Genomic DNA, 27008 nt, shown 5'->3' on the forward strand with positions numbered 1-27008 from the left:
CTCCAGCCGTATGCCTCCAACCCGACTAATGTCTCAGGACCTCAGGAACTGGGCAGATTCTGCTGAGAGTTGTGGAGGTGGGCATTGAGATGGTCTGAATCTGTGTTCCTGCCCCAGTCTCATATCAAATTGTAATCCCCAAAGTTGAAGGTGGAGCCTTGTGGGAGGTGACTAGATCCTTCATGAATGGTTTAGCACCATCTCCTTGGTTCTAAGTGATAGGAGTTCTCATTAAATCTGGTTGTTTAAAAGTGTGTGGCACCTCCCCTTTTTCTCTTTCTCCTGCTCCAGCCATGTGAAGTGCTGGCTCCCCCTTCCGCCATGATTGTAAGTTTCCTGAGGCCTCCCCGGAAGCATATGCTGCCATACTTCCTGTACAACCTACAGAACTGTGAGCCAATTGAACCTCTTTTCTTTAGGAATTACCCAGTCTTCGATATTTCTTTATAGCAATGTGAGAACAGACTAACACAGGTGTCCAGTCTTCATACTGTCATGCTACTTGGTAGCTCCTCTTTTTCTTTGTGTCTTACAGGCCTGGCTTTCTGAGGTACTGTAGTTTTATGACATCTTGATTTGCTCTCTTAGGTCCACTGTGGCTGTTGATAGGCACTGTGTGCCAATGCCTGTGATTATAAGCTCACAGGGACTGCTTCCTTCCTGGTAATTGTCATGTCTATTTTACGGTATTCCCAGTTGTAGGGGGAGCAGGAAGCACGGCCTAGACCACTGCACCCCTGTCCTGGCTTGGATTAGTCGTGGTTGGTCCCACAAGAGTTTGAGAGAGAAAGAGATGGGCATGGCATGTCACACAAACCTGAGGGGTGCCAGGCGGAGCCCAGTCTCCCATTGTCCTGGGGTCCTGGCCAAGGCATGAGTGAGCCGAGTTGTTCTGGCCAGAGGATCTGCAGGCAGAGGCTTCTGAGGGGGGTTTGGCTTACAGGTCCCCTGCAATAAACATAGGGTTAGGCAGGGTCACTTACCAGGAGCCAGCAGAGGCCCCTGAGAAGCAGGGCCTGCCGCTTGGCACAGGCCCTGCTTCCTGAATATCATCCTGTCACCATACAAGGTGGGTGGAGGCTGACCTCTGTTAATCTTCTTGCCAAAATTTTCTGTAACATTTAAGACTTATCCATGGATCGTAGTTATAAACACTCAACTATGGGGCTTCTGGACTGCCCCTGGGCCCTGGGGTAGCGTTGATGTTGGGGTTTCTCTGTCAGTGTCACCCTGAGGATACACACTTTCCTGTGCTTTTAGTTAGGCGGCTTCTCTGTTCACCCTAAAATAAGAAGTTGGTGAAAATCTTTTCAAACATCACATTCGTTTCTTCAGTTTTGCCAACATCACATAGCAGGACTCGTTCATCTGTGGGTGGATGAGACGGTGAGGATGGTTGTGCTCAGTCTGCCACGTGCAGGCGCTGTTCCACATGTTGCTCTGAAGGCTCCGCGAAATACACTGAAGTTCTTCCACTAGATACTTTCTCATAAGCTCAGAGAATTGATGCAGTGGTCTGAGGGGCAAGTCAAGCTTTGTAAACACACTAAGGGGCAGGGCTGTGTTGACCAGAAGCCAGTGTGAGGGAGCTGGCCAGGGAAGGTGGGGTTATTCCACGCTAGGTTTTAGCCAAAAATGATGCTTTGGGACTTGTGCAAGTCACTTGACCTCTTTCTCTGGAAAATGTGGGGAAAAAGACCTATCTCAGCATTGTTATGAGGATTAAAGAAAATAATGCATAGGAAGTTCCCAGCACACAGATAATAGTTATTAATATCAGCATTCCTTCATGCCGCAATTTAAAAATGTTTAGTAGAAATAGAAGAAAAACGGCGGGGCGTGGTAGCTCATGCCTGTAACTCCAGCACTTTGGGAGGCCGAGGCGGGCGGATCACCTGAGGTCAGGAGTTTGAGACCAGCCTGGCCAACATGGTGAAACTCCGTCTCTACTAAAAATACCAAAAATTAGCCTAGCATGGTGGCACATGCCTGTAATCCCAGGCTACGCAGGAGGCTGAGGCAGGAGAATCGCTTGAACCCGGGAGGCAGAGGTTGCAGTGAGCTGAGATCGTGCCACTGCACTCCAGCCTAGGTGACAGAGTGAGACTCTGTCTCAAAAAAAAAAAAAAAAAAAAATGTAAGAACACATGCCCCTTTTTTTCGTGGGGCCCCTCCTGTGGATACCCATGAGAGAGGGGTTCATTGGAGCTGTGTCCAGAAGTCAGTAAGTGTTGGACACATCTCTGCTCTTGGCCCCAGGTGAATGTGGGTGCCATGTCTTGTCTTTGAAGCCCGGAAACACTCATGAATGCACAGAATGTCTGTTGGAAATGGTGCTAGAACCTCCAGGGAGACAGAACACCCCTAATAACCAAGTGCTTCAATTCACCATCATAGGACCCAGTATATATCTAGCAACACTCAACAATGATTTCAAACACTTGAGTTGAATTTCTCTCACAGTGCCTATCATATGAAAATTACATTTCTTTAGCAGTTGGGGCTCAGCTGAAAGAATGCAACAATATAATCACCATTTAACATATCTTTGTAAAGCAAAGGAAGCTACCACAGAAGTTTGTAAATCACAAGTGTCCACAGGTGTGTGGAAGATAAGCTGAGTTGGAACAACGGACACATTGGGCTAGGAAAAAGCCCCTGAACAAGGGACAGACTTAGAAGTGATATTTCTACATTAGTTTTCATTAAAAGAAACATTAAATAGAAAAAATTCCCTAGCTAGGAATAAAGGCCATATAATGTGCCCAAGAGCACGGATTGTTTATATATTCAACCAGTTCCACATACACACACAGTATCCTCACTGGTGGAGCAGGGATGATCATAGTCCCTTCCTCCCGGGTGGATGTGAGGGTTAAATGAGATATTGAGGCTCCTAGCACAGGGCCTGGCATGCAATATAACCCATGAGTGTTAGCTGCTGCTGGATTACAACTATTATTAATGGAGTGAATTTACCACCAAAAAGCACCATAACCCTACCAACAAACTTTGGATAATTAACTAAGGTAACAAATCAAGCTCCCCTTCCTATAGATAACAGAAAACTGTGAGCAAGACATTAGTGTGTCATGTAAAAATGGATGTATGCACTCATCAAATTGAAATAATTAGCAATACTAGTTTTGCTGCTAAGTATGACTAAGCTGTCTTGGCAATAAAGAATAACGTCAGGTTTTTATTGCAATGCTGGAGAAAAAGTGAGGTATGTATCACAATATATTTGGATTTATCATGGAAACATAGGAGATAGTTAGGTTAGCCATTCATTCTAGTTTGCCTGGGACGTTCCCAATTTATGTTTATCGTCCTGTTTAATTATTAATCACACTCTCTCAGGCATGTCTCCTACTTTAGAAGATAAATTATATGGTCACCATAGTGATGAAAACCCAAATGACTGAGACGCTGATTGAAGGGTCTGACCTCCAACCTGGGGATCAGCGCAGGCACCATCTGCTTCCTCCAGCCATGGCCAGGACATGGTTTGGATGGAAGCATGAGACAGGTTGCAAGCAAAGATGTTGCCTAGGTAAGATGCTGGCTTCCTGCCAGGGCTTAACTGGGACAGAATGGCCATGGAACAGTGGGGGTTAGTCCAAGAAGATGTGCCTTCACTCCTTAGACATTAGGCATGGAGGTGTGGAACCCATGATGCAAGAAGCACCAGCTGCACATTTTGACCCTGGAGGAAGGGATGAAATTGCCATGCTGTCTTCTAGGTGTTGCTTTTCATTCTGCCTTTGCAAAACCTAAACCTGAACCTCTCCCAGAGAAGTCCAGTGTGATCACCAAGCATCATCTGAAGGGAGCTGAGAAATGACTCTAAGCAGATTGCTCACACACGATAAACATTTCTTTAAATCTATTTTCATTTTAAACAAGGAAATGAATTCAAACCTCATTTTTATGCCCTCTTAACTTCTTCCAGATATTGAAGAAAAATCCAGGTATGCTATTAATATGCTATTAAATAGGGCTGTTCCATTCTTCTATATTCTGCTCATGTTCTGGCAATAGCCACATATTTCAGATTTTTTAGAGGTTTCAAAACAATTTTAAATCCAGATATAACCACTTTGCCTTGACCAGCATCATGAAGTCTCAGCTGTTATCAACTTCACATGGTAAACGAGAGTAAACATGCCCTGCTTATCCAGAGAAATCTCTGCAGGAAGACTGGAATTCATCACAGGAAAATGCCAGAGATGCCCCAGAGATCCCTGACGAGCTCATGCAGGGCTGGGGCGGCATCAATATGTTTCACTGTGCAAATTCGGTCTACCTCTAGCTAAAAACAATTGTGGGAATTATGGCTATAGATCAGAATATAAATGTCGTAAACCCTAATGTAGGTATCATGGAACTCGCCAAAGTTGACAGGCGGGTCTTCCATTTCCAGTAACATGGCAGGCTCTGTTGTTGTGCCCTACCCCTTCTCTGATGACCACCAAGAGTTACAAGACAGCAAATGTTTTAAGTCTAAGTGAAAGCAGCAGCTTGGAGAGGGAGTAGTAACTGAAGATGGAGGCATCTGCCAAGTTAGGGAAACCTAAATGTGGGTTTTGATACTCTTTCACAGTGAGGAATAGAGAAATCCAACCAAGGTCAAGACATATGGGCAGAAACCAAATGTCCAAGTTTAATGAGAGAGAATTCTCTTCCTGACTCCTCTCCATTCAAGTTGGGCTCTACAGACAAGACCTCAGGTTAAGAATCTTCTAGAAGTAAATACATACTATAATCTATCCCCAGGATACTACAAGGAGCATTCTTCTGGTGCTGGACAGACCGAGGGAGAAAAATAAACCTGTCACCACAAATTGTCCTTGAGGACTTGAAGCTGAAATCACATCACCTGGGTATTTCAATAAGCTCCAAGCCATTTTAAAGTGGTCTCAAACTGGTACTGCCTCCAGGCACCTGGCAGAGGCAAAATAGCCCTTTATGGAAGAACACACCTGCATCCTAGGCCTTGAAGAACTATAATTTAAAAAAGTGAACTCATGGAAAAAAAAAAAAAAGCATACAGGGAAACAAGGAACCAGGAGTGAGAAGTGATAGAAACTTCAGCAGTAACATATCCAAAGACTTCAGATTTGGGTATTATTGGAAAAAGTTTTCTTACTATGTTTAAAGAAGTACAAGACAAGCTAGCATAGTTGAATTAGAACCAAAGAGAACTTCTAGAAGCAAAAAAAGTACAACATAGATGAGTGCAAATTGCATGAAGGTAAGTACAGTTTGATACCACTTACGTAAAGTTTAAAACACGAAACACTATATTAATGGATACATATTTATACAAAAATATTGAAAACATTAAGCAAACTTATGACAGTGCTTGTATCTGGAGGGAGGCTAATGTAGTGACTTTAATGTTTCACTTCTTTTGAAAAAGGATATATATCTGAAACTTAAATAGGCATGTACATCTAGAAAGATGTAAAACTAGTTATTTCTATGTAGAATAAATGTGAGTAAATTTTAGTTTTTACTTTTCTATATTTTAAATATTTTAAAAAATAACTTCAATCTTTGGGCTAAGGAGGAAAACAGAAGAGAATATATAGACTATTTAAAAAATATACACTACAAATTGGAACCAGTGAGCAAGGTGTAAAGCAATGTTTAGAGGAAAGTTCTTAATAATATTTTCATGTAACTGTCACAAAGTCCCAAAAGCAAGTACTATTATTTCACATTTGTAGAGGGGACATTAAAGTGATGTTTCCAAGATCTAATGGTAGCAAGAGGAAGATCATATAAGACTTTGAGCTGGTTGAAGGTAGGGGAGAATGAGAAACCAGACAAATCTAATAAAACATAGGCCAATCAAGGACAAATAAAATAAATGGTATTAAGGATTACTAGGTGGTCATCTAGAAAAAAATAAAATTTGATTATACACTAAATGGGATTGATTCAGGAAACAAATAGACACATGGAGAACAAAAAAAAAAAGCAGGGTGAGGCAATGGCCCACCTGGGAGTGACACGGAGCCAAGGGAACCCTCACCATGGGAAGTGGTACAAGAAAAACTGAGGCTACTGGGGTCTGGAGCAGACCCCCAGCAAATTGCAGCAGCCTTACAGAAGAGTGGCCAGACTGTTAAACAGAAAACAACAATAACCCCATCCAAAGGTCAGCAACCTTAAAGATCAAAGGTAGATAAGCCCACAAAGATGAGAAAGAATCAACACAAAAACACTGAAAACTCAAAAAGCCAGAGTGCCACTTTTTCTCCAAATCATGGCAACACCTCTCCAGCAAGTGCAAAGAACTGGGCTGGGGCTGAGATGGCTGACATGACAGAAGTAGGCTTGAGAAGGTGGGTAATAAAGAACTTTGCTGAGCTGAAGGAGCATGTGGTAACCCAATTCAAAGAAGCTAGGAATCATGATAAAACAATACAGGAGCTGACAGCCAAAATAGTTTAGAGAGGAACATAACTGGCCTGTTAGAGCTAAAAAACACACTATACGAACTTCACAATCACAAGTATTAACAGCAGAATAGATGAAGCAGAGGAAAAAATCTCGGAGCTTGAAGACTATCCTGAAATAAGATGGGCAGACAAGAATAGAGAAAAAAGAATGAAAAGGAATGAACAGAAGGTCTTGAGAAATACCGGATTATGTAGAGAGACCAAATCTACAAGTGATTGGGGTACCCAAAAGAGACGGGCAGAACAGAGCCCCCCCAGCAAATTGCAGCAGCCTTACGGAAGAGTGGCCAGACTGTTAAACAGAAAATGACCCACAAAAATCTCATCCAAAGGTGTCAGCAACCTCGAAGATCAAAGGTAGATAAGCCCACAAAGATGGAAAACATACTTCAGGATATAATCCAGGATAACTTCCCCTACCTGGCAAGACAGGCCAACATTCAAATTCAGGAAATCCAGAGAAGGTAAGATACTCCATGAGAAGATCAACCCCAAGACACATAATCATCAGATTTTCCAAGGTCAAAATGAAAGAAAAAATGTTAAGGGCAGCCAGAGAGAAAAACCAGGTCCCCTACAAAGGAAAGCCTATCAGACTAACAGCAGACCTCCCAGTGGAAACCCAATAAGCTAGAAGAGCTTGGGGACCAATATTCAACATTCTTTAAAGATTTTCCAACCCAGAATTTCATATCTGGCCCAATATCATCTAGATAATGAAGAAAGACCCATTGGTGTGCTGTCTTCAAGAAACTCATGTGCAAAGACACACACAGGCTCAAAACAAAGGGATGGAGGAAAATTTACCAGGCAAATGGAAAACAGAAAAAAGTAGGGGTTGCAATCCTAGTTTCTGACAAAACAGACTTTAAACCAACAAAGATCAAAAAAAGAAAAGGGCATTGCATAATGGTAAAGAGTTCAATAAGAAGAGCTAACTATCCTAAATATGTGTGCATCTTATACCACCCAGATTCAGAGAGCAAATTCTTAGAGACCTGCAGACTTTAACACCCACCTGACAATATTAGAAAATCAACAAAGACATTCAGGACTTGAACTCAGCTCTGGAGCAAGTGGATCTGTTATACAACTACAGAACTGTCCACCCAAAACCAACAATCTACATTCTTATTACTACACAGCACTTACTCTAAAATTGATCACGTAATCAGAAGTAAAACACTCCTCAGCTAATGCAAAAGAACTGAAATCATAACAGTCTGTCAAACCACAGCGTAATCAAATTAAAGCTTAAGATTAAGAAATTCACTCAAAACCACACAACTCCATGGAACCTGAACAACCTGCTCCTGAATGACTCTTGGGTAAATAATGAAATTAAGGCAGAAATCAAAAAGTTCTTTGAAACTAATGAGAACAAAGAGCCAACATACCAGAATCTCTGAGAAGCAGCTAAAGCAGAAGAGGGAAAGGTATAACACTAAATGCCCACATCAAAAAGCTAGAAAGATAAAGTTAACAAAGTTAACAACCTAACATCACAGCTAAAAGAACTAGAGAAACAAGAGCAAACCCCAAAGCTAGCAAAAGACAAGAAATAACCAAGATCAGAGTGGAACTGAAGGAGATAGACATGAAAAACTCTTCAACAAATCAGTGAATCCAGGAGCTAGTTTTTTTGAAAAAATTACTAAAATAGATCACTAGCTAGACTATAAAGAATCAAATAGACACAATCAGAAATGATAAGGGGGATATCACCATTGATCCCACAGAAATACAACTATCAGAGAATACTATAAACACCTCTATGCACATAAACTAGAAAATCTAGAGCACATACAGTCTCTGAGACTGAACCAGGAAGAAATTGAATCCCTGAATAGGCCAATAATGAGTCCTGAAATTGAGGCAGTAGTAAATAGCCTACCAACCAAACAAAACCCAGGACCAGGCAGATTCACAGCTGAACTCTACAAGAGGTAGAAAATAGAGCTGGTACCATTTCTACTGAAACTATTCCAAAAAAATTGGAAAGAAGAGACTCCTCTCTAACTCATTCTGTGAGGCCAACAGCATCCTGGTACCAACACCTGGGAGAGATAAAAAAAAACCTCAGGCCAATATCCTTGATGAACATTGATGCAAAAATCCTCAACAAAATACAGGCAAACAGAATCTGGCAGCACATCAAAAAGCTTATCCACCACAATCAAGTAGGCTTCGTCCCAAGATGCAAGGTTGGTTCGGGATATGCAAATCAATAAATGTGATTCATCACATAAACAGAACTAGAGACAAAAACCATATGATTATCTCAATAGATGCAGAAAAAGTCTTCAATAAAATTCACCCCATAATATAAAAAACTCCCAATAAACTAGGTATTAAAGGAACATACCTCAAAATAATAGCCATCTATGACAAACCCACAGCTAATATCCTGAATGAGTAAAAGCTGGAAGCTTTCCCCTTGAAAACCAGCACAAGATGCCCTCTCTCACCACTCCTAGTCAACATAGTATTGGAAGTTCTGGGAAGGGCAATCAGGCAAGAGAAAGGAAGTGTATTCAAATAGGAAGAGAGGAAGTCAAACTAACTTTGTTTGCAGATGACGTGATCCTATATCTTGAAAACCCCATTGTCTTAGCCCAAAAGCTTCTTGAGCAATTTCAACAAAGTCTCAGTATATAAAATCAATGTGCAAAAATTGCTAGCATTCCTATACACCAACAGGCAAGCCAACAGCCAAATCATGAACTCCCATTCAGAATTGCCACAAAAATAATAAAATACCTAGGAATGCAGCTACAAGGGACATGAAGGACCTCTTCAAGGAGAACTACACCACTGCTCAAAGAAATCAGAGGACATAAACAAATGGAAAAGCATTCCATGCTTATGGATAGAAAGAAGCAATATGAAAATGGCCATACTGCCCAAATAGAATCAATGCTATCCCCATCAAACTACTATTGACATTCTTCACCAAATTAGAAAAAACTAAAAATTCATATGGAACCCCAAAAGAGCCCAAATAGCCAAGACAATCCTAAGCAAAAAGAACAAAGCTGGAGGCATCACGCTACCTGACTTCAAACTATACTACAAAGCTATAGTAACCAAAATGGCATGGTACTGATACAGACACATAGACCAATGGAACAAAATAGAGAACCCAGGAATAAGACTGCACGCCTACAACCATCTGATCTTCAACAAACCTGAGAAAAAGCAATGGGGAAAGGATTCCCTATTTAATAAATAGTCTGGAAGAACTGGATAGCCATATGCAGAAAATTGAAGCTGGACCCCTTCCTTACACCATATACAAAAATAAACTCAGGATCGATTAAAGACTTACATATAAAACCCAAAACTATAAAAACCTTAGGAGAAAATCTAGGCAACACCATCGAGGACATAGGCATGCGAAAAGATTTCATGACAACATCAAGAGCAAAAATTGACAAACGGGATCTAATTAAAGAGTGTCTGCAGCAAAAGAAACACAGAATGAACAACCTACAGAATGGGAGAAAGTTTTTCAATCTATCCATCTGACAAAGGTCTAATAGCTAGCATCTATAAGGAATTTAAAATTACAAGAAAACAGTAAAAAGTGGGCAAAAGACATGAACAGACACTTCTCAAAAGAAGACATTCATGGAGCCAACAAACATGAAAAAAAGCTCAACATCACTGATCATTAGAGAAATGCAAATCAAAACCACAATGAGCTACCATCTCATGCCAGTCAGAATGGCAATTATTAAAAAGTTAACAGATGCTAGAAAGGTTGCAGAGCAAAAGGAATGCTTTTACACTGTTGGTGGGAGTGTAAATTAGTTCAACCATTGTGGAAGACAGTGTGATGATTCCTCAAAGACCTAGCAGCAGAGATGCCATTTGACCCAGGAATCCCATTATTGGGTATATACCCAAAGGAATAGAAATCATTCTATTATACACGCATGCATATGTTCACTGCAGCACTATTCACAATAGCAAAGACATGGAATCAACCTAAGTGCCCATCAGTGATATACTGGGTAAGAAAATGTGGTAAATATACACCATGGAATACTATGCAGCCATAAAAAGGAATGAGATCATGTCTTTTGCAGAGACATGGATGGAGCTGGAGGCCATTATCCTCAGCAAACTAATGCAGGAACAGAAAACCAAATACCCCATGTTTTCACTTATTAAGTGGGAGCTGAATGATGAGAACACATGGACACAATGGGGCAGGGGGAGGAGGAAAGCATCAGGACGAATAGCTAATGGATGCCCAGCTTAATACCTGGGTGATGAGATCTGTGCTGCAAACCACTGTGGCACATGTTTACCGATGTAACAAACCTGCACATCCTGCACATGTACCCCGATCTTAAATTTTAAAAATGGCAAAGATGAAAAGGCAGTTCATGAAAAAGAAAATCTTAAACCTGTGAAAAGGTATTTCATCTCACTATGAAGTATTTCCTATGAAGAAAAACATGGAGACCACTGTTTTTAACCTATCGATTGGCAAAGAGATGAAAAACCTCCGAACACACTGTGTTGGTGAGGAGCTGGATAATAGAATAGCTGAAACAGCTCCTTTAAAGGCAGCTTCACTCAGTCTATCAAATTTCTAAATGCATATGACTTTTGCACAGCAATTGTGCTTTCAGGAATTTATCCATCTTGGGCAAGATTATGCCTGTGTGACGTAGCAAATGATTGAAAACAACCCATCTGGGAATCTGGAAGGGACAGGTTAAAGAAGTCATGGTATAGCTTCACAAATAATGATGTAGCCAGTGAAAAGAATGAAGCAGATGTATAAAACTAATAAGGAATAACCAAAGTAGAAGAAAGTACATAATGTGTTGCCATTTGAATTCAAAACAAGGATGTAAGATGAGTGACAGCAAGTTGACGGTTGCTGAAGTTGAGTGATGGGTAGATAGGGTTTCACTGTACTCTTCTCTCCAATTTTGAGTGTTTGAAAATTTCCATAATCTCTCCTAGCAGAGAGGTGGGTGGGGGGTAGAGCTGAGACTTTTCATTGTATCCCAAATTGCGTTTTATAAAAGCCTAGTAACAGTGACGATTGCTTCTGGGAAGGGAGACTGGTGACAGGTGTGAAGGAGACTGTTTTCCGAATGACCCTTTATACTGTTGAGATTTTTAATTATAGGCCTATATTACCTATTAGCAAATGTAAAGGCTAAAATATCAGGCATCTGCTTTTTATGTAATTTTCATGTTTATAGTAACAAATAAGTGGGAAACAAATACCCCTTTGAACCCTGTAATCACGTGAACAACTTCCCTTGAAAACATGTTCTGAGAAGTTCCCTTCAGGGAGAGATCATGCTTCCGTGGATAACTGATACCCTTAAAGACATTTGATGTTTGTGTCTGATGAATAATTAGTATATGATGCCAAAGAAAGTTCAGCTAAAGTTTCTGGAAGTATTGGGTAGGTGGCAGGGAGAGTCCAAGACCTTGGTAGCTGTGTTTTAGATTTACAGGGGGAATGGACTCATTGTCATTAATCCGTAACTGAGTGTGATGGCGCCATGGAGAATGACACTGTGACAACTGATTTTTTACTATTTTAAGTCCACATCAATTCAGCATATTTCCTACACATCTATTATGTTCGAGGGGCTGGACTTAGCTGTGCCTGGGATCAGTCTATGCCTTCAGAAGTAGGGCAGAGCTGGCATACTGGTAACTCCAGGCTACGGCAGCAGGTGATCAGAGGTCCTGGAGGGAGGACTGTGGAGAGGTCTTAGGGGAGGGTGAGATCTGGAATGCAGGGAAAGGGCACAGAAGGACACTCACCAGCACCTTTACCAGTTATTAGCCTGTGCTTTGTGTGTAGCAACAGAAGCTCTCATAAAACTCAGTTTTCTTGTATTTCATCTTCTTCAGGAGAACATACTAACAAATGGGTCTTCTTTTTCTCATTACAAATTGGCATTTCTGATGAGCAAGGACCTAATCCCCAGATTTCTAGGCTCTGCAAGTGCAGGTTTCAATATCAGACACCCACACAGGTCCAGAAGGGCACATGCCCTTATCCATTCGGAGCCAAATTCATTTTGTTGAACAGTTTGAAAGTTTGGACTTAACCTCTGAACTGGCCAGCACCTGACTGATCTACAATCGTGGCTTAAATTAATTGGCTTTGCTCACATCTGCATCCTGACCAGGCATTTGAAGGAGTAGCTGCTGTTTACCAGTAACAGCCCCAGCTCATCATTCATCACCTTTTATAAAGGTTTGAGGAGGAAGAGGAATTTGGACTTCCTTGTAATAGCTGCCACCGTCTTCCCATGGCAACTTAAACAAAGTAGCCTTTTCTTAGATGAGACTGTGCCAGACTGGTGAGTCTTGTGTTATAAAATATTATATGTTGCATATAATACAGACAGATAAAAGTTGTTGATTAGGAGAAATGTTGTGTTTTGACAGCATCACTGAACTGAAGATCTCCACCTCTGCAGAAAATGCATAGAGCCTTCTTTAAGATGCAGTGAACAGCTAGATGAATACACTGAATTATTTTTCCTCTAATATAGCTGATGGGATGAAAAAAGTTTGTTTCCTTGATCAAGACTGGGGAGTTAGGATGAGAAGCTTGAATTCCAAGGGTCCTTTTACCATGAAGGAAGTGGTACATTGCAAAGGTATGTTTGTGGACAAGAGGGTACATTCATTCAGCTCTCCTTCATTTATAAGTCAAACAGAACATTTATAGAAAATGAAATGGTTTCTATAAAGACCTAGCTTACAGTTTAAATGTGAGGTGGACCAAGATGGTGTTTGTGGTAGTGTTTTCTTCTGGAATGCTTAGTACATTGGGACAAATGAAGCAGGATTAGCTGTGTGTCACGTTGTCCTGGGCAGGGCATGAGGAACCCCAAAGTACAAAATGTCAGTGGATTCAATTTGTGCTGCCAAACAAGAGTCACCTCCAAATATTCTCCACACCTGCATGGAATTAATTTCCGTTCCCTATGTGTGATGGGAGAGAAATCACCCACTTAATCTATATCATATGTCTTAGAAAAGTTCCAGACAGACACCAGCCTGGAGTGAGAAATGTGGATTTTTCAGTGACTGATGTTTAAAGGGTAACATTTCCTTAGTTTCATAAAACAGAATGAAGGACTTTTTCGGGCCTGCTTTAAAGGAAATCTTGCAAGAGTCCCTGCTGGTGGAGAAAAAAACACCAGCAGTAGGAATACCTTCCTCTGATAACATGGTCTGTTAGCCCCAGTTTGACATGGTACACAGGTGAGTTGCTTAAAATAAATAAAAAAGTTCAGGATGAGGGGTACATGGGAAAGGAGCTTCTCTGCTCTTTGGCTACCTGAAATGTGCACACAAAATGCTAATATTGGTGCATTTTATGAGTTCATAGCTTTTGTCAGATTCTCAAGTCCACGGACCAGAAAAGTTTAGGGCATGCTCACCACCTTCCATGACTGCAAATCTAAAACAAATTAGAAAAACAAATGTAAAAGAACTGTCAATAAACAGAAGAAATTATATATGGACTTTCACTAATAATGAAATGGGAGTGGACTTTGCAAGCATGAAAGGAATGGGAAAATTCACAAAAGAAAAATTCAATATTCAAAACCAGAATTATTCTTATGCCAAAAAATCATAACTAAAATTACATTAAAATATTTTTAAAAGAAACTTATAAACCAAGAAGAAAACCTCTACCTCTCAAACAGAAATAAATAGGCAAAGGATAGGAAAAGACAAGTCACAGAACAAATACAGTGAACAGCAGTGGTATGCTTGAGCTGGCTGGTACTGGCTCATAACTGCCAGTTCCCTACTCCTCATTCAGTAATGTCACACTAGTAGCTTGAAACTGGCCACAATGGGAAGTTTTATACCAGAGAAATCAGCTGTAAATCAGAATTTTTTTTTAAAAGGGCCAGTTTGCCAGCATACCATTGGCTAATGGATACATAAAAAGTAGTTCAAGTGTACCAGTAATCAAAAAAATACAAGGAGAAATGAGGTCTGGACAAGGTGGAATAAGTACATTTCACCCTATTTCTCCTGCTAAGTGCAACAAAAATGTCTGGACATAAAGTATGCTGGCTAGGGATCTCAGAACTCAAGGAACTACCCAGTGGTGTGTTTGTGTGTGTGTGTTCTTTTATATATCTTGGCCTGGGCTCTGGATAGGCCCACAACTGGAAAAGCCTGCTATCTTGAGCCAAAAGACTAGAGAAAGAGCAGTCCAGAAACACAGAAGTGTTTTGACCATACCTGACCTTACTCCAGCTCAACACTTGAAAAAAGCCATGCCTCCCTCCTGCTCCTCACCAGGCATCATAGCCTAGAGACTGGCAGATCTCTACTTTCTATCACTTCTTGCAATAACATGCCACATCCCTTCCCTGGAACAGAGACTATGGGTAGAACTTTTAGTGGATTTCTCATCACCATGGAGTCCAGAAGGAAGGGGAACAACATTTTTAAAGTACTGAATGGAGAAAACAGTCAACGCAGAATTCTATATCCAGCAAAACTATCCTCTAGGAATAAATACATTCTCAGATAAAGGAAAATGAAGAGAATTTGTCACCTACAGATTTGCTTTAAAAAATGGCTAAAGAAAGTTTTTCAGACAGAAAATAATAAGCAAAGTTAAGTTTTAAAGATTATGTTTGGCTGAAAGCAAAATTACAACATCTGCAGTGACTCTTAGTACACATAAAGGTAGTATTTAAGACATCTGTATTATAAAAGGAAGAGGAAAAGCGACCTAAAAGGTGATAGTTTCTGTATTCTACTTAAAGTGAAGAAATATTGACTAGTAGACTGTGATAAAGTAAGTACATACATACTGTAATCTTTAGAGCAGTGGTTTTCAATCAAGGGAGGTTATGCCTTTCAGAGGACATTTTGGCAATGTTTGGAAACATAATTACACATGTTACTTCCATCTAGTTGATAGAGGCCATGGATGCTGCTAAACATTCTACAATGCATAGGAAAACCCCACATAACAGAGTATTCAGTACAATATGTCAAAATGCTGAGGTTGAGAAACTGCCCTAGTGTAATCATACAAAAAAAATACAAAGATATATACTCAAAAACATAAATGCAGATAAATCAATATGGAATACTAATCTACAGGAACACAGAAAAAGCACAATGAAACAAAAACCAGAGAGAACAAACAGAATAATATTAACATGGTAGACTTAAATCCAAACATATCAACAATTGCATTAAATATGAATGTTCTAAACACACCTATTAAAATATAGTGACTGGCTAAATGGATGAAAAAATCTATATGCTGTCTACAAGAAACGCTTTTCAAATGTAATTCCATAGGTATGTTAAAAGGATGGAAAAATTCATACTTTGCTTTTTATCCTGTTTTTAGAAGTAACCATTTCTGTTTGCTGCAATCATGAATGATGTTTCCTATTGTGAAATATCATTCATGATTGCAAAAAGACAACACTAATACTAATCAAAATAAAACTGGAGTGGATATAATAATATCAGATAAAGTAGATTTTAGAACAAAGATTACCAGAGCTAAACAGAGACATGACATAATGATAAAAGGGTCACTTTACTAAGATGACACAACAATCCTAATTGTGTGTATCGCAAACAACAGAGCTTCAAAATACATGAAGCAAAAACTGATGAACTCAAAGGAGACACAATTATAGTGGAAAAGTCCAACATCTCCTCTTGGTAACTGACAGAACTACTAGACAGCAACAAATTGAGATATTTTGTTGTATTTATCAAACTGGTAAAAGTTAAAATTTAGTGTTAGCAAAGTCATGGTGAGAAAGACAATAACAATGTGGGAACGCAAATGTATATGAGTTCTGAAAAAATATTTTTATATTATGAGGCTTAAAATGGTCATACAATCTTTCAACCCAATATTTTACTTTTAAGAATCTCTCCTAGGGGAATAAAGAGGTCCCAAGATTTACCTCTCTAGAACTTTCTAACAGCAAAAAATGATACATCAATACATGCCCAATAATTTGCAAGTACTTAAACATTTATATTCAAGTATAGTGTTATTATTAAATAGGATTTTTAATGCCATTGTAAATGGGACTAATTTTTAAGGCAAAACAAAGCAGCATATAAAACTGTGTACAAATAAATTATGTTAAAATACACAATTATAAACAAAAAATATTAATAGCAGTGAAAAATTACCAGTGATTATCTCCTACTTATTTGCTTGTTTTCTCCTCCCTTCAAGTTTTCTATTGTGAAATATCATTCGTTATTGCAGCAAACAGAAATGGTTACTTCCAAAAACAGCATAAAAATGAGATGATATACATAAACAATACAGTGCTAAGTTTGGTACGGAGACACTCTGTATATAGGTGGTATAGTTCTTGTAAATAATTTTGAAATAAAATGATGAGAGAGTATAACTGATGCTTCTTAGGGTGACCATCTGTCTTAGATTGCCTGTCTCTATTTTACTGTACAGGCCTAATTATTACTAGTCCCTCTGCTATTCTCAATAGTGTCATCGTTTAGTTGCATGAGTGGTCTAACTATTCAAATACTTAAAAAATTATAACTAGTAAATTAAAATATATGACACTCTTATTATTATACTCCAGGCACCAAACTAACTGCTTTATGTGGATTATCTCATTTAACCATCTGAGTAGCTGAATTATCTCCATTTTACAGAGGCACCGAGAAGTTAAGCAACTTATCTAAGCTCACACATTAACAAGTAGCAGAATCTGGATTTGAACTACATCCTATCATATTAGTACTGAAAGCATACCTGGGCCTGCCTAAGTGCAGGCTTGGCTGGCAGGGGTCTGGCAGGGACGCTAGGTGCACGTGGAGCCCGGTGGAGGGGAGGAAGCACTCGCTGAGTTGACTGGGGCTGAGGGACATTCAGGCCGTTGAGGGGTCTGCTGATGTCAACATTCTGACACTGCAGCAATCTCCTGGGATTGTCCTGTACAGTCAAAGTAAAAAGCCATGCTATAGCGGGTTTCAAAAATATCAGTAACTCCTTAAGGAAAAAGCAGTGCTAACTCATCTGTTATAGCTGAAGGCCAAGGTGGGGTAAAGGAAAGAAATCAAGGATGTACACAAGAGGGGAATTATTTTTGTATTTATTTAAACTTCAAAATTCAAACAGAAGCATCACCTGCCTCCACCCCACCAAATCTGGAATAGAAGGATCGATTTTTGTTTAGATTTTAAAAAACTGTTTAACAAATAGGTGCAAAGCACTTGAAAAAGTACCAAGTATAAAGAAAGACACGGACCGAGATCTTAGGGAAGTTACAAAAGAGATGTGAAAATAAGATACAGCTTAATGTGTTCAAGGCTCAATGAGAACTGAGAAAACCACTGGGGAAAGGAGAGTTGCGGCTTCAGGAAGCCAGGGCTGAGGTTGGGGCTTGGAGTTGGAGACGTTCTCCCATATGGTAACCCTTGTTCTTAGAACAGGTGCTGCAGGGACCCTTATACCTCAGGCTTCTACCCCTTCCTTCCTCTCTTTCTAAAAACAGCTTAATTGAGGTATAGTTGACATAAAGTATACAACTTGGTCATTTTTTGACGTGTTTACACCCATGAAACCCTCACAACAAACAAGTGGACAAATGAATGCATCCATCACCCCAAAGAGTTTTCTTGTCATGCTTCTCCCTTCCCTCTCCCTCCAATCATCAGTCTGCTTTCTGTCACTATCAGTTTGCATTTGTCAGAATTGTATATAAGTGGGATCACAGAGTATATACTCTGGCTTTTCTTCTTTTACTCAGAATAATTATCTAGAGATTCATCCTCAATGTTGTATACATCAATGGTTCATTCCATTGTGCAAATATACCATTGTTTATCCTTTTACTGGTTGATGGATATTTGGATTGTTTCTAGTTTGGGGCTCTCAAAAATAAGGCTGTGCTTTTTTTTTTTTTTTAATAGAGCTGCATTTTTCTTTTTTACGAAAATGAAGATGTGCTTTTGGCTACCACACAAAGCCGTTCTCGCTTATGGTTCCACCTTTGGGGACGAGCAGGGGTAAAGCTTATTGGGAATGGCAGCCTCCTCCTTGGAGCCCCACCCTTTGCGTTTTTTGGATCAAGGGAGTTAAAACAGTTTATTGCCTACTGCATATGCAGCAATGATTTTTCAATCACTTATTTTTTTTGACACCAATCTTGTTCACTGTTATAATTTGGACTCTTGTTGACTAAGTTCAATATTCAAGAATTCTTGTGGGTACATCAGAAAAACTCGGTGGGGAAGAACTATTAGAATGAACTCTAGCTGTAATTCACCAGGGTAGCAAGAGGGTTAAGAGACAGCAGGGAGCCGTGAGGTACTCTGGGTTAAGGATCCAGTTCTCTGAAACCACAGGGTGGACAGGGCTTCCTCAGCTCAGGGCTGGAGCAAAATGGTCAATTCTGAGAGCTCCATGTAACTTTTGAAAAATATTTTAAGAGTAACAGTGGGCTAAAGCAGCTCACCTAAAGCCAGGTGGTGGCATTTGGAAACCATGGTGGGGCTGGCATTGGGGGCTGGTGTCAGGAGCCAGCTCGGGCTGCAGACCCAGTGGGGCCCCAGAAATGTGGCTGGTCTGGGTGACTGAAGGGATCACAGCTCACACTATGCTGCACCATATCATGCAGGGGGCACTGAGTGCGCCAACAGGATCTAGGTGGGCTTCCATGGGGGCACCGTGGGGCCTCCCTCTGGCCCCAGATCACAGAGACCCTCCCTCAGAGCCTGCTGACCTAGTGAGGCTGACTCAGCATTTCACAGGCAGCGCCTCTAGGATCCCATTCTTATTCAGTCTCGTATTGAAAACCTCATGTCTGCATGTGTGCCCTGAGCACTCACATCTACTCAAGACTCACCTTCGGTGGGTAGGAATCTGGCGGCTTCCTCATCAGGCCTTTTCCAAGGTGGCCGAGGTGAGCCTGACAGGGTTGGAAGCCACGGGGTGGCCGGGAAGGGCGCACACACCTGCAACAGAATCCCATACCTGCTGACCAAGCGTGTTTCCCCTTCTCACTGACTTGACTTTTTACACTTTGCTCATAGTGGCACTCAAAAGACAGTTTACTTAACTCAGTGTGCTAAACATGCAAAGGAAAAATTACCTAATAACACTCTTAGGAGATTAAAAAATAAATACTGGTTTTTCCCTCAAAACCTCTATTTTGTCAAATTAGTTCTCACGCTCCATAGAAATGCAGTGTAGTGACACCTGGAAGATGATTTGTATGAAGCTGGCATTTCAGCGATAATGTCTTTGAATATATTTGGATCAAAAGCTACCCCATCTGATGAAAATATTTCAATGTCTCCATGTTGTATAAAAATTACTAATATAAGGGTGGGAGAAAACACATCAGTGGAATTTCCTGACACCCTGCTAGCTTATGTAATAAGCAGCACATTGTTGTTTGAAGGGAAGTAAAGGAGGCAGCTGATCTGGCAGAAATTTAAAACAAGAAACCCCCCAAAAAAGAACCAAGTCCCAGGTTTATGATCCAGAAAATCTGACCTTTGCTAAAAAAATGAAGTGAGAAGCAGTTTGCTGTACATTTTCTGAGACACCATTTCTTTTTTTTTTTTTTTTTTTTTTTTTGAGATGGAGTCTTGCTCTCTCGCCCAGGCTGGAGTGCAGTGGAGTGATCGCAACTCACTGCAAGCTCCGCCTCCCGGGTTCACGCCATTCTCATGCCTCAGCCTCCCGAGTAGATGGGACTACAGGCACCCACCACCGCGCCCGGCTGATATTTTGTATTTTTAGTAGAGACGGGGTTTCACCGTGGTCTCGATCTCCTGACCTCGTGATCCGCCCGCCTCAGCCTCCCAAAGTGCTGGGATTACAGGCTTGAGCCACCGCACCCAGCCTCTGAGCCACCATTTCTAGAACAGATGACAAGCTAAACCCAGGGTACCTTAGTTTTTCAATGGTGGTCTTCTTATTTGTAAACAGCAGTCGTATCAAGGTCTTCCTTTTGAGATAAACCACAAATCCGGCAGCAAGAAGACACAGGATGGTCACCAGAATTCCTATGGTTAAACCTTGGTTATCTGAAACAAAACACATGGGGCTCACAGAAGGAGGCAGTTACAATGAAATATGGGAGGTATCAAGTTGTGACGTTTATGGCAAAGTGAACTCTGAAGCAACAGAAATGAAGAGAGTACACCCGTGAGTGATGTACTAATAAACTGTCTTACTTCAGATGCCATGTTTGAGGTTCAATCTATGTTACCATCATTCATTTCTGACAACTCTAGAACTTGCTAAACAGGAATATATAGTCGGGTAGGTGGGGTGATGGTCTGGACCACGCAGGTTCCCTGAGGCGTGACAACGGCACAGTGGACCATGGTAGCCACAGAAGGTAGCAGGGAGCCATCACTGAAGCCTCACTGGAATCACAGCCATCCCCAGGCTCAAATGTTTCCAGTCCCCAGCACAGATTTGCCATTCCAAAGTGCTTTTCTTTACTCATTCTGTAGTTGGGTTCTGCTTTATCTCTTTTCGTGTTTTTAAAAAATGAATTGCTTTCTTGCTGGACATCTCAAAGTAGATAGTGAAAAAAGAGAAAGAAAACTCATTTAAATGAAACACCCATGGGTTTTGCTTTGTTATGTTGGGGACTTAAAAACACAGCCTTTGTGGGGGAAACCCTTTTCCTGGGAGGAAGCTATTTTCTCTATGAAAACATCTTCTTTTCTATGACCTGCTGCCATTTTGTTTAATACAGTTAAGAGCCTCCTCAAGGGTAGGGAAAGGAAGGAAAAAAATCAAACCATCAGGTTGGTTTCTTACAGTAGCTATGGTCAGCGGCTGTCTGGGAAGGACTCTAAATGCTCAGACTTAGAGGAGGTCTACCTGTGATTTCAACTGGACAGTGAATTTTTAGAGGACAGGGATCTTGATTCATTTGTCTTCCCATCAGCAAGGATCAGGGTGTACTTCACATCAGGTAAGTGTGCAACAGTCCTTTCCGGCTGCTGGTGATCGCCGTGATGCAGTTACCTGGGCTCTCCTCGGCCCTGCCTCCCACCTGGACCCTCAGCTGGCTGTGGATCACTGCAGCAGCAGCTCCTACTCCAGGGAAAGAATGTCTTTCACACCTTCTTGGTTTCTGGACCCCATCCCCCACTAACAAGGCCTATCAGGGATGTGTCTTAGCCTAAGCAAGACAGCCAACAGATGACAGTCTTGACTTACTTGTTGGTGTTACTGGAAAAGCATTGCTTCTGGTTTCCTGGGCAAAATGTCACTCTTTTCAGACCCTTAGTAGTGATCACAGGGGGCTCTAGCTAGAGTTCTGGTGTCTCATAACAAAGTTAATTAAAGTTAATTTAAAAAGTGAACAGCAAAAATCTTGAACTATAATTTCTAGTTCCATAAAGTGAATCCATAAATCTTCAATACATCAATCTATGAAACTGAACATTTACAGGGCCCCCACACTGAACCTGCTGAACTCCCCAGGGTTGCTCAAGCCAGAGGCCCGGGCAGTGACTGACTCCATTTCCCTCTTCCCCAGGACCAGCACGAGCACCGTGTCCTGTGTCCCCTCCTGTTGGCCCAGTCCGCACTCTAGAATCTGAGCCCAGGCCAGTCCACACTCCTCTAGATCTTCGCACAGCCAGCTATCTCGGCTTCAGAATGCATGTTTCCCTCGCCCCCTTCAGACCTCAACAGATGCAGGGTCCCCAGGAGCCTTCCTGACAACCCCCTGCCGCTCTGTGGGGGTTGCTCCCCTCCCATGATGCCCTCTCTCCCTGCAGTCGTACCCCTCACTTATGCCATGTCATTCTTGCTTAATGTCTCTCCAGGACCCAGGAGAGTGGCTGGTGTGTGGCAGACACACAAGTACTTGTTTAATGAGCCCCTGAGCCATGGCCAGGCCAGGGAGCAGTGAGCCATGCTTGCTCATGGCCTGCCTTGATTTTATATATGTATGAACAGGGTGGAGGCAGCGGTATTTCAAATGCACTCTATTTTATGCAGTAATGGCCACGGGGGATGGAGTTAGGCTCTTACATTGTTTTCACTTTTTAACATTCTTACTTGTTAAATGAAGGGTTGGTGACTCTGTGGGTTCCCTGGCTTTCTGCAAACCCTCAAACCTGAGTACTGCTGGTCACGCATGTCCACAGCAAAGAGCCAGAGTTCACCGCCCTTTCTCCTACCTTCTTCTCCAGTTTGTTTCATTGCCATTCAGTTTGCTTGGATGGAGATGGAATGGGTGGCAGGGTCTCTGATAAATTAAAAACTAAAACCCTGCTATTTTCATATAATAAATGCTAAAAGCCATATCAGAGCATTAAGTTGCAGCCAGAGACCAGTCATCAGGGCTGCCAAGGCTGAGGTGTCACTGGGGAAAGGGGACACTGGGCCCAACCCTTGCTTCTCCCCCACTGCTGTGGAGGCTCAGTGAAAGGCCAGACTTTTGAGTCCTCTTCCTCCTTGCTGCAGGGCTGGGGCCTGCCAGAGTGGTAACCTGCTACTCTCTCAGGAGCAGCACTGAAGCATGTCCATGTTTTAGCAGAAGCTCAACCAGGAAGTCGCTGCCCTTCCTTGCACTGTTTCTGCAGACGTGCCTGGTAGGCTGGACTTCCCCTCCTGAGCCCCGAGAACTGTGTTGTGTCTGTTGTCATGGAAACGATGGCAAAGCCACAGAGTCAATGCTGCCAGTCACAGGAGGCCTTGGGGACGCGTGACCTCCTCTGCAGCAGCACTGGTCACGGTCTCCATGTCATGGGAGGGCTCAGATGAGTGTCAGTGAGGCAGTAGACGCATGCTCCTGCGATCCCACGGGCTCCTGGCCCTGGCCGCGCTCCCTGTTGGACTCTGCAGCTTCCTGCCTTGCTTCTTTCCCTCGAAAAGAGGCATCATTTAGACTTGCCCCTGAATTGCCCAATAAGAACTCAGAGAAAACAGCACCGCACCAGTAAACCATTTCTAAAGGTCATCCGAGGAGAAATGGCCACGAGTTCAAGCACAGCTGCTACTAAGAGCTTCTTGGGGGACAGGCAGACCTGTGTGTGTGTAAATCTTAGCGAGATCACATTAGGCAAATTACTTAACTTCCCTGAGCCTCAGGTCCTAGGTATGTGAGAAAAGAATCATACCACCTTCTTCAGAGTTGTATAAGGAGGGGATGACATCATGGGCATAAAATGCACCACACAGCACCTGCACACATCATTCCATATGCAAAAGCTGTTGCAATGACTCCCACTGCTGCCGTGACTGTCACCTTTACTAAGAGGTGGGTGTCTTTCCAGTAAGATTTTTAAAAGGCATTAAACTTCACACCTTGTCACCCTACCACACAGATGTCGGCCTTTACAAAGTACTTTGATACAGTGATGACATTCATACCCATTCAGCAGTTCACTATAGAAATGACCTTAGTTAAGAAAAGTGTCGCAGGCTAAGGAACTGGCAAACTCAGCCACTCAGTCAAAGCAGAGAGCAAGGAGCCTCAGAGAAGATCGGGCAGGGATGAGAGGGGCATCTGGAAACTGCGGGAGACCCTAGGCTGTGTAGACCCATGTGGGGTCCCCACTGGGTTTCTTGTTGGCTCTACCTGCACCCATGCTGACAGCTGGCGAGCCCACCCGCCCCCAGGTGCTCAGCCTCCTCCCACCGGGATGCAGGGGCTTCACTGACCTGCTTGCCGGATGGGGCCGCTGTCTGTGCTTCCTCCAAAGCCAAACTTGTCACAGAAGGGAGGTGCCCAGTGGGCCTCGCAGTGGCAGTTCTTCCTGTTGTTGCACACCTTTCAGGGCAGAGGGGAGGGACGTGGGGTTAGGGCATATGCTCTGTGCATCACCACAGCAGAAGCAAGGGGGGCCATGGTCAGAGCCCCCCCCCAACACTGACACAGCCAGACTCAGCACACGCCATGGTGCGAATAAGCCCAAAGCCGGCACTACACACCACACAGGGGCGACCAAACCTGAGGCTGTGAAGATGCATCATCTGCCTATTAGTGGCTGTAAAGAGAGTGATGAAGATTATTTGGGTTCATCAGCTTGCCTCCCCCACCCACCTCACTTCCTTCTCCATCTCCCCATCTTCCTTTTTCAATCTGGAAAACTGTCTGACCATGAGGAGAAGCCCCCTCAGCAGTGAGGAGGGACCGTGCTTTGGGGCTACAGACCCAGAGCCCTGGGGCACCGCGGGACCTGACAGATGCTTGGCGCATCCCTGTCTCCTTCAGACAGAAGGCTCAGAGAGGCTGGTGACTGCCGGGTCCCACGCCAGGCTGGGGTCCGAGGCAGGCCCCCCGTTTCCTGAGCAAAGGAATCCTGTTTCCTGCAATCCTAGCAGGGTGCATGGGATTTCCACTAATACTTCCTGAAGCCTGTCCCCGTGTGTCCTTCCTGCAACGCCTGCCTCCTTCTTGCAGAGGTTCCCAGTGGCTGTTCCCTGGCTCCCAGTCACGCACCAGGGTGCGAATCCAACAGTGGATTCTTTTCATTGTGAAATAAGAGAATGGTTCTGGCACGGCGGGAAAGGGAGACCAAGAAAGCCCGAGGAGGCTGTGCTTCACCCTTGTTGGGCCCAGCTCATAGACCAGAGCATTCCATGCAGGGGCCAGCAGCCCCTGCCCACCTGGTTACCAAGGGCTACTGATGGCGGCCACTCCCAAGCCTGTCCATGCTGGTTGGACTCGCTATTATGCCAGATGTAACTAACTGAAAGTACATGATCCAATGGAAGATGACCATGAAGATGATATATATTTAATATATTTTTTTCTATGAAAATTAGGTTGTCAAGTCCAGGCACGGTGGCTCATGCCTGTAATCCCAGCAAGTGGGAGGCCAAGGTGGGCAGATCACTTGAGGCCAGGAGTTCAAGACCAGCCTAGCCAACGTGGTGAAACCCTGTCTTTATAAAGATAAAAAAAAAAAAAGTTAAAAAAAATTAGGTTGAATCCTTTGGGAACACTGGATTAAAAAAGAGAAATCACTAAAAGAATTTCTGAAAAATTAGGAATGAGTGGGACTACTGCACAATGATTGGGAAGAGCTGCAGAGGACAAGGAGGAGGCTGTTCTTGGATGCTGTTGAGTGTCTAAGGTTCCCTTCCACAAAAAGAAACGAACTAGAAGTTGTTGATGATGCATTTTTGGGTGGTTTATATCAGGAAGTCGATGCACAATGACATTCAGTAAATCAATCCTAAAGGCCTCAGCCCGCCATCAAAATATGGCTGCCAGATATACAGTTTCATATTTTAAGGCAAAATAAAATGCGTAGAGTATATGTCTCCCATGTAATGCTTTCCTGCTTCAACCGACTTGTTTTGATGAATCAACCACCTACCCTCATTGCTTCAGATAAGAAGGCCGACTGTCAAGATAGGCTTTAATAAGTTAGAAAGTAGACTGCTATAAAGCAGAAATTGAGTAGAACTTGTCAGCAAGTGGCAGAGCCTACGTCAAATGTAAGTGTCTTGCCTGTCCCCTCAAAGATGCTGCTGTGGACGTACTAGCCCCAGATTCATGCCTGCCCCTCATGGCTTCTCTCTGCAACTTGTGGTCATGCGCCTTGTTTTAAAACCCACAGGAAGGTGCTGCCGGGAGCCTGCCCTTGTTAGGGTGGGACTGTGGCCAAGCTACCCTTCAGCAAGGCTGGGTAGGCTCCACCTACCCAGCAAATGCGGGCCTCTCCGCTCCCATGTGTGGATAAGGCCAAGGGGTATTGGAAAGGGAGTGGTCCAGGGTCCTCAACCAGCTTGCAGCTTGCCGGCCATATTACCTTGGGCACACCATCCCCACAGCTCAGGGCCTGGCTTCTTCAGTAAAATAATAGGACTGGACTTGATCATCTCTTAACAGCCATCAGAAAATAATCTATGATCCAATGAAGACATAAGAAGATTCCATTGTATATTGGGAGTTAGCTAACCTTACCGTCAACACCCCCATCTGAGGTGACACTGTGATCCTTTATGGTTCCAGCATGATGGTAATTTACAACCCCCTCCCCCCATGCACCCGGTAATTCTGTGTAAGAATCATTGGCAAGTGTCTACAAGTTTTAAAATAAAGAATTTGGAGCAGGATTTCTGTAGGAAAGGTTTCAGGAAAACAAATGAACCTCTGGTGTGGTTAATCAAGACTAATATGATTCCATTGGAAATAAGCCCATCAAGAAAAATAAATTATGTTTTCAGCAATTAGAGTCCTCTTCTACCCTAAAGGTTCTCTGAACTAAAATAACAGCCTTCTTTAGTTGAAACCCATTGTGTGTGATTTCAAGAACATGTGTTTAATATGATCTGTTGTCCTTGTTTTAATTCCTTTTGGAAATATTTCAGTTCAGACACTGGTTCTGAATGTTGGTAGTAAGAGGAACAGCACAGTTTGAAATGTTATTTTGAAACTCTTCATGAAGGAAGGTTGCTTTTCAAATTACTTTGAACAACAAAAGTCTTTTTTAAAATCATAGAATGTTAATTTAAAAGGTAATTACAGCTCAGTCTGATTTTCTTTGTTAAATAAA

At 42.4% G+C, this 27008-nt stretch overlaps 1 protein-coding gene across 7 annotated transcripts in view, besides 1 other annotated feature; it reads right to left on the reverse strand.

Annotated features, from left to right (window-relative positions):
- The window catches only part of ADAM12 (ADAM metallopeptidase domain 12), a 376087-nt gene that overhangs the window by 6487 nt on the left and 342592 nt on the right, over positions 1 to 27008 (reverse strand). For 4 of the 7 annotated variants that reach the window (NM_001288973.2, NM_003474.6, XM_017016706.2 and 1 more), the window contains 5 exons: positions 24163 to 24271; positions 20417 to 20552; positions 19364 to 19472; positions 17269 to 17448; positions 818 to 948 (listed from right to left, as the gene is read on the reverse strand). In NM_001288973.2, the coding sequence (NP_001275902.1) occupies positions 818 to 948; positions 17269 to 17448; positions 19364 to 19472; positions 20417 to 20552; positions 24163 to 24271 (665 nt within the window). Of the gene's footprint in view, positions 1 to 817; positions 949 to 17268; positions 17449 to 19363; positions 19473 to 20416; positions 20553 to 22466; positions 23365 to 24162; positions 24272 to 27008 lie in introns of those variants that run through there. The other 3 variants (NM_001288975.2, NM_021641.5, NM_001288974.2) reach the window with 2 other exon arrangements.
- Positions 24037 to 24694: an enhancer, noted in NCBI's record as "H3K4me1 hESC enhancer chr10:127731483-127732140 (GRCh37/hg19 assembly coordinates)". NCBI's record gives its function as "activates a minimal SCP1, AML or CMV promoter by ChIP-STARR-seq in naive H9 embryonic stem cells {active_cell/tissue: H9 hESC(naive)}" and the evidence as "EXISTENCE:reporter gene assay evidence [ECO:0000049][PMID:30033119]".

Source organism: Homo sapiens, chromosome 10 (assembly GCF_000001405.40).
Source record: "Homo sapiens chromosome 10, GRCh38.p14 Primary Assembly".
NCBI classification, from domain to species: domain Eukaryota; kingdom Metazoa; phylum Chordata; class Mammalia; order Primates; family Hominidae; genus Homo; species Homo sapiens.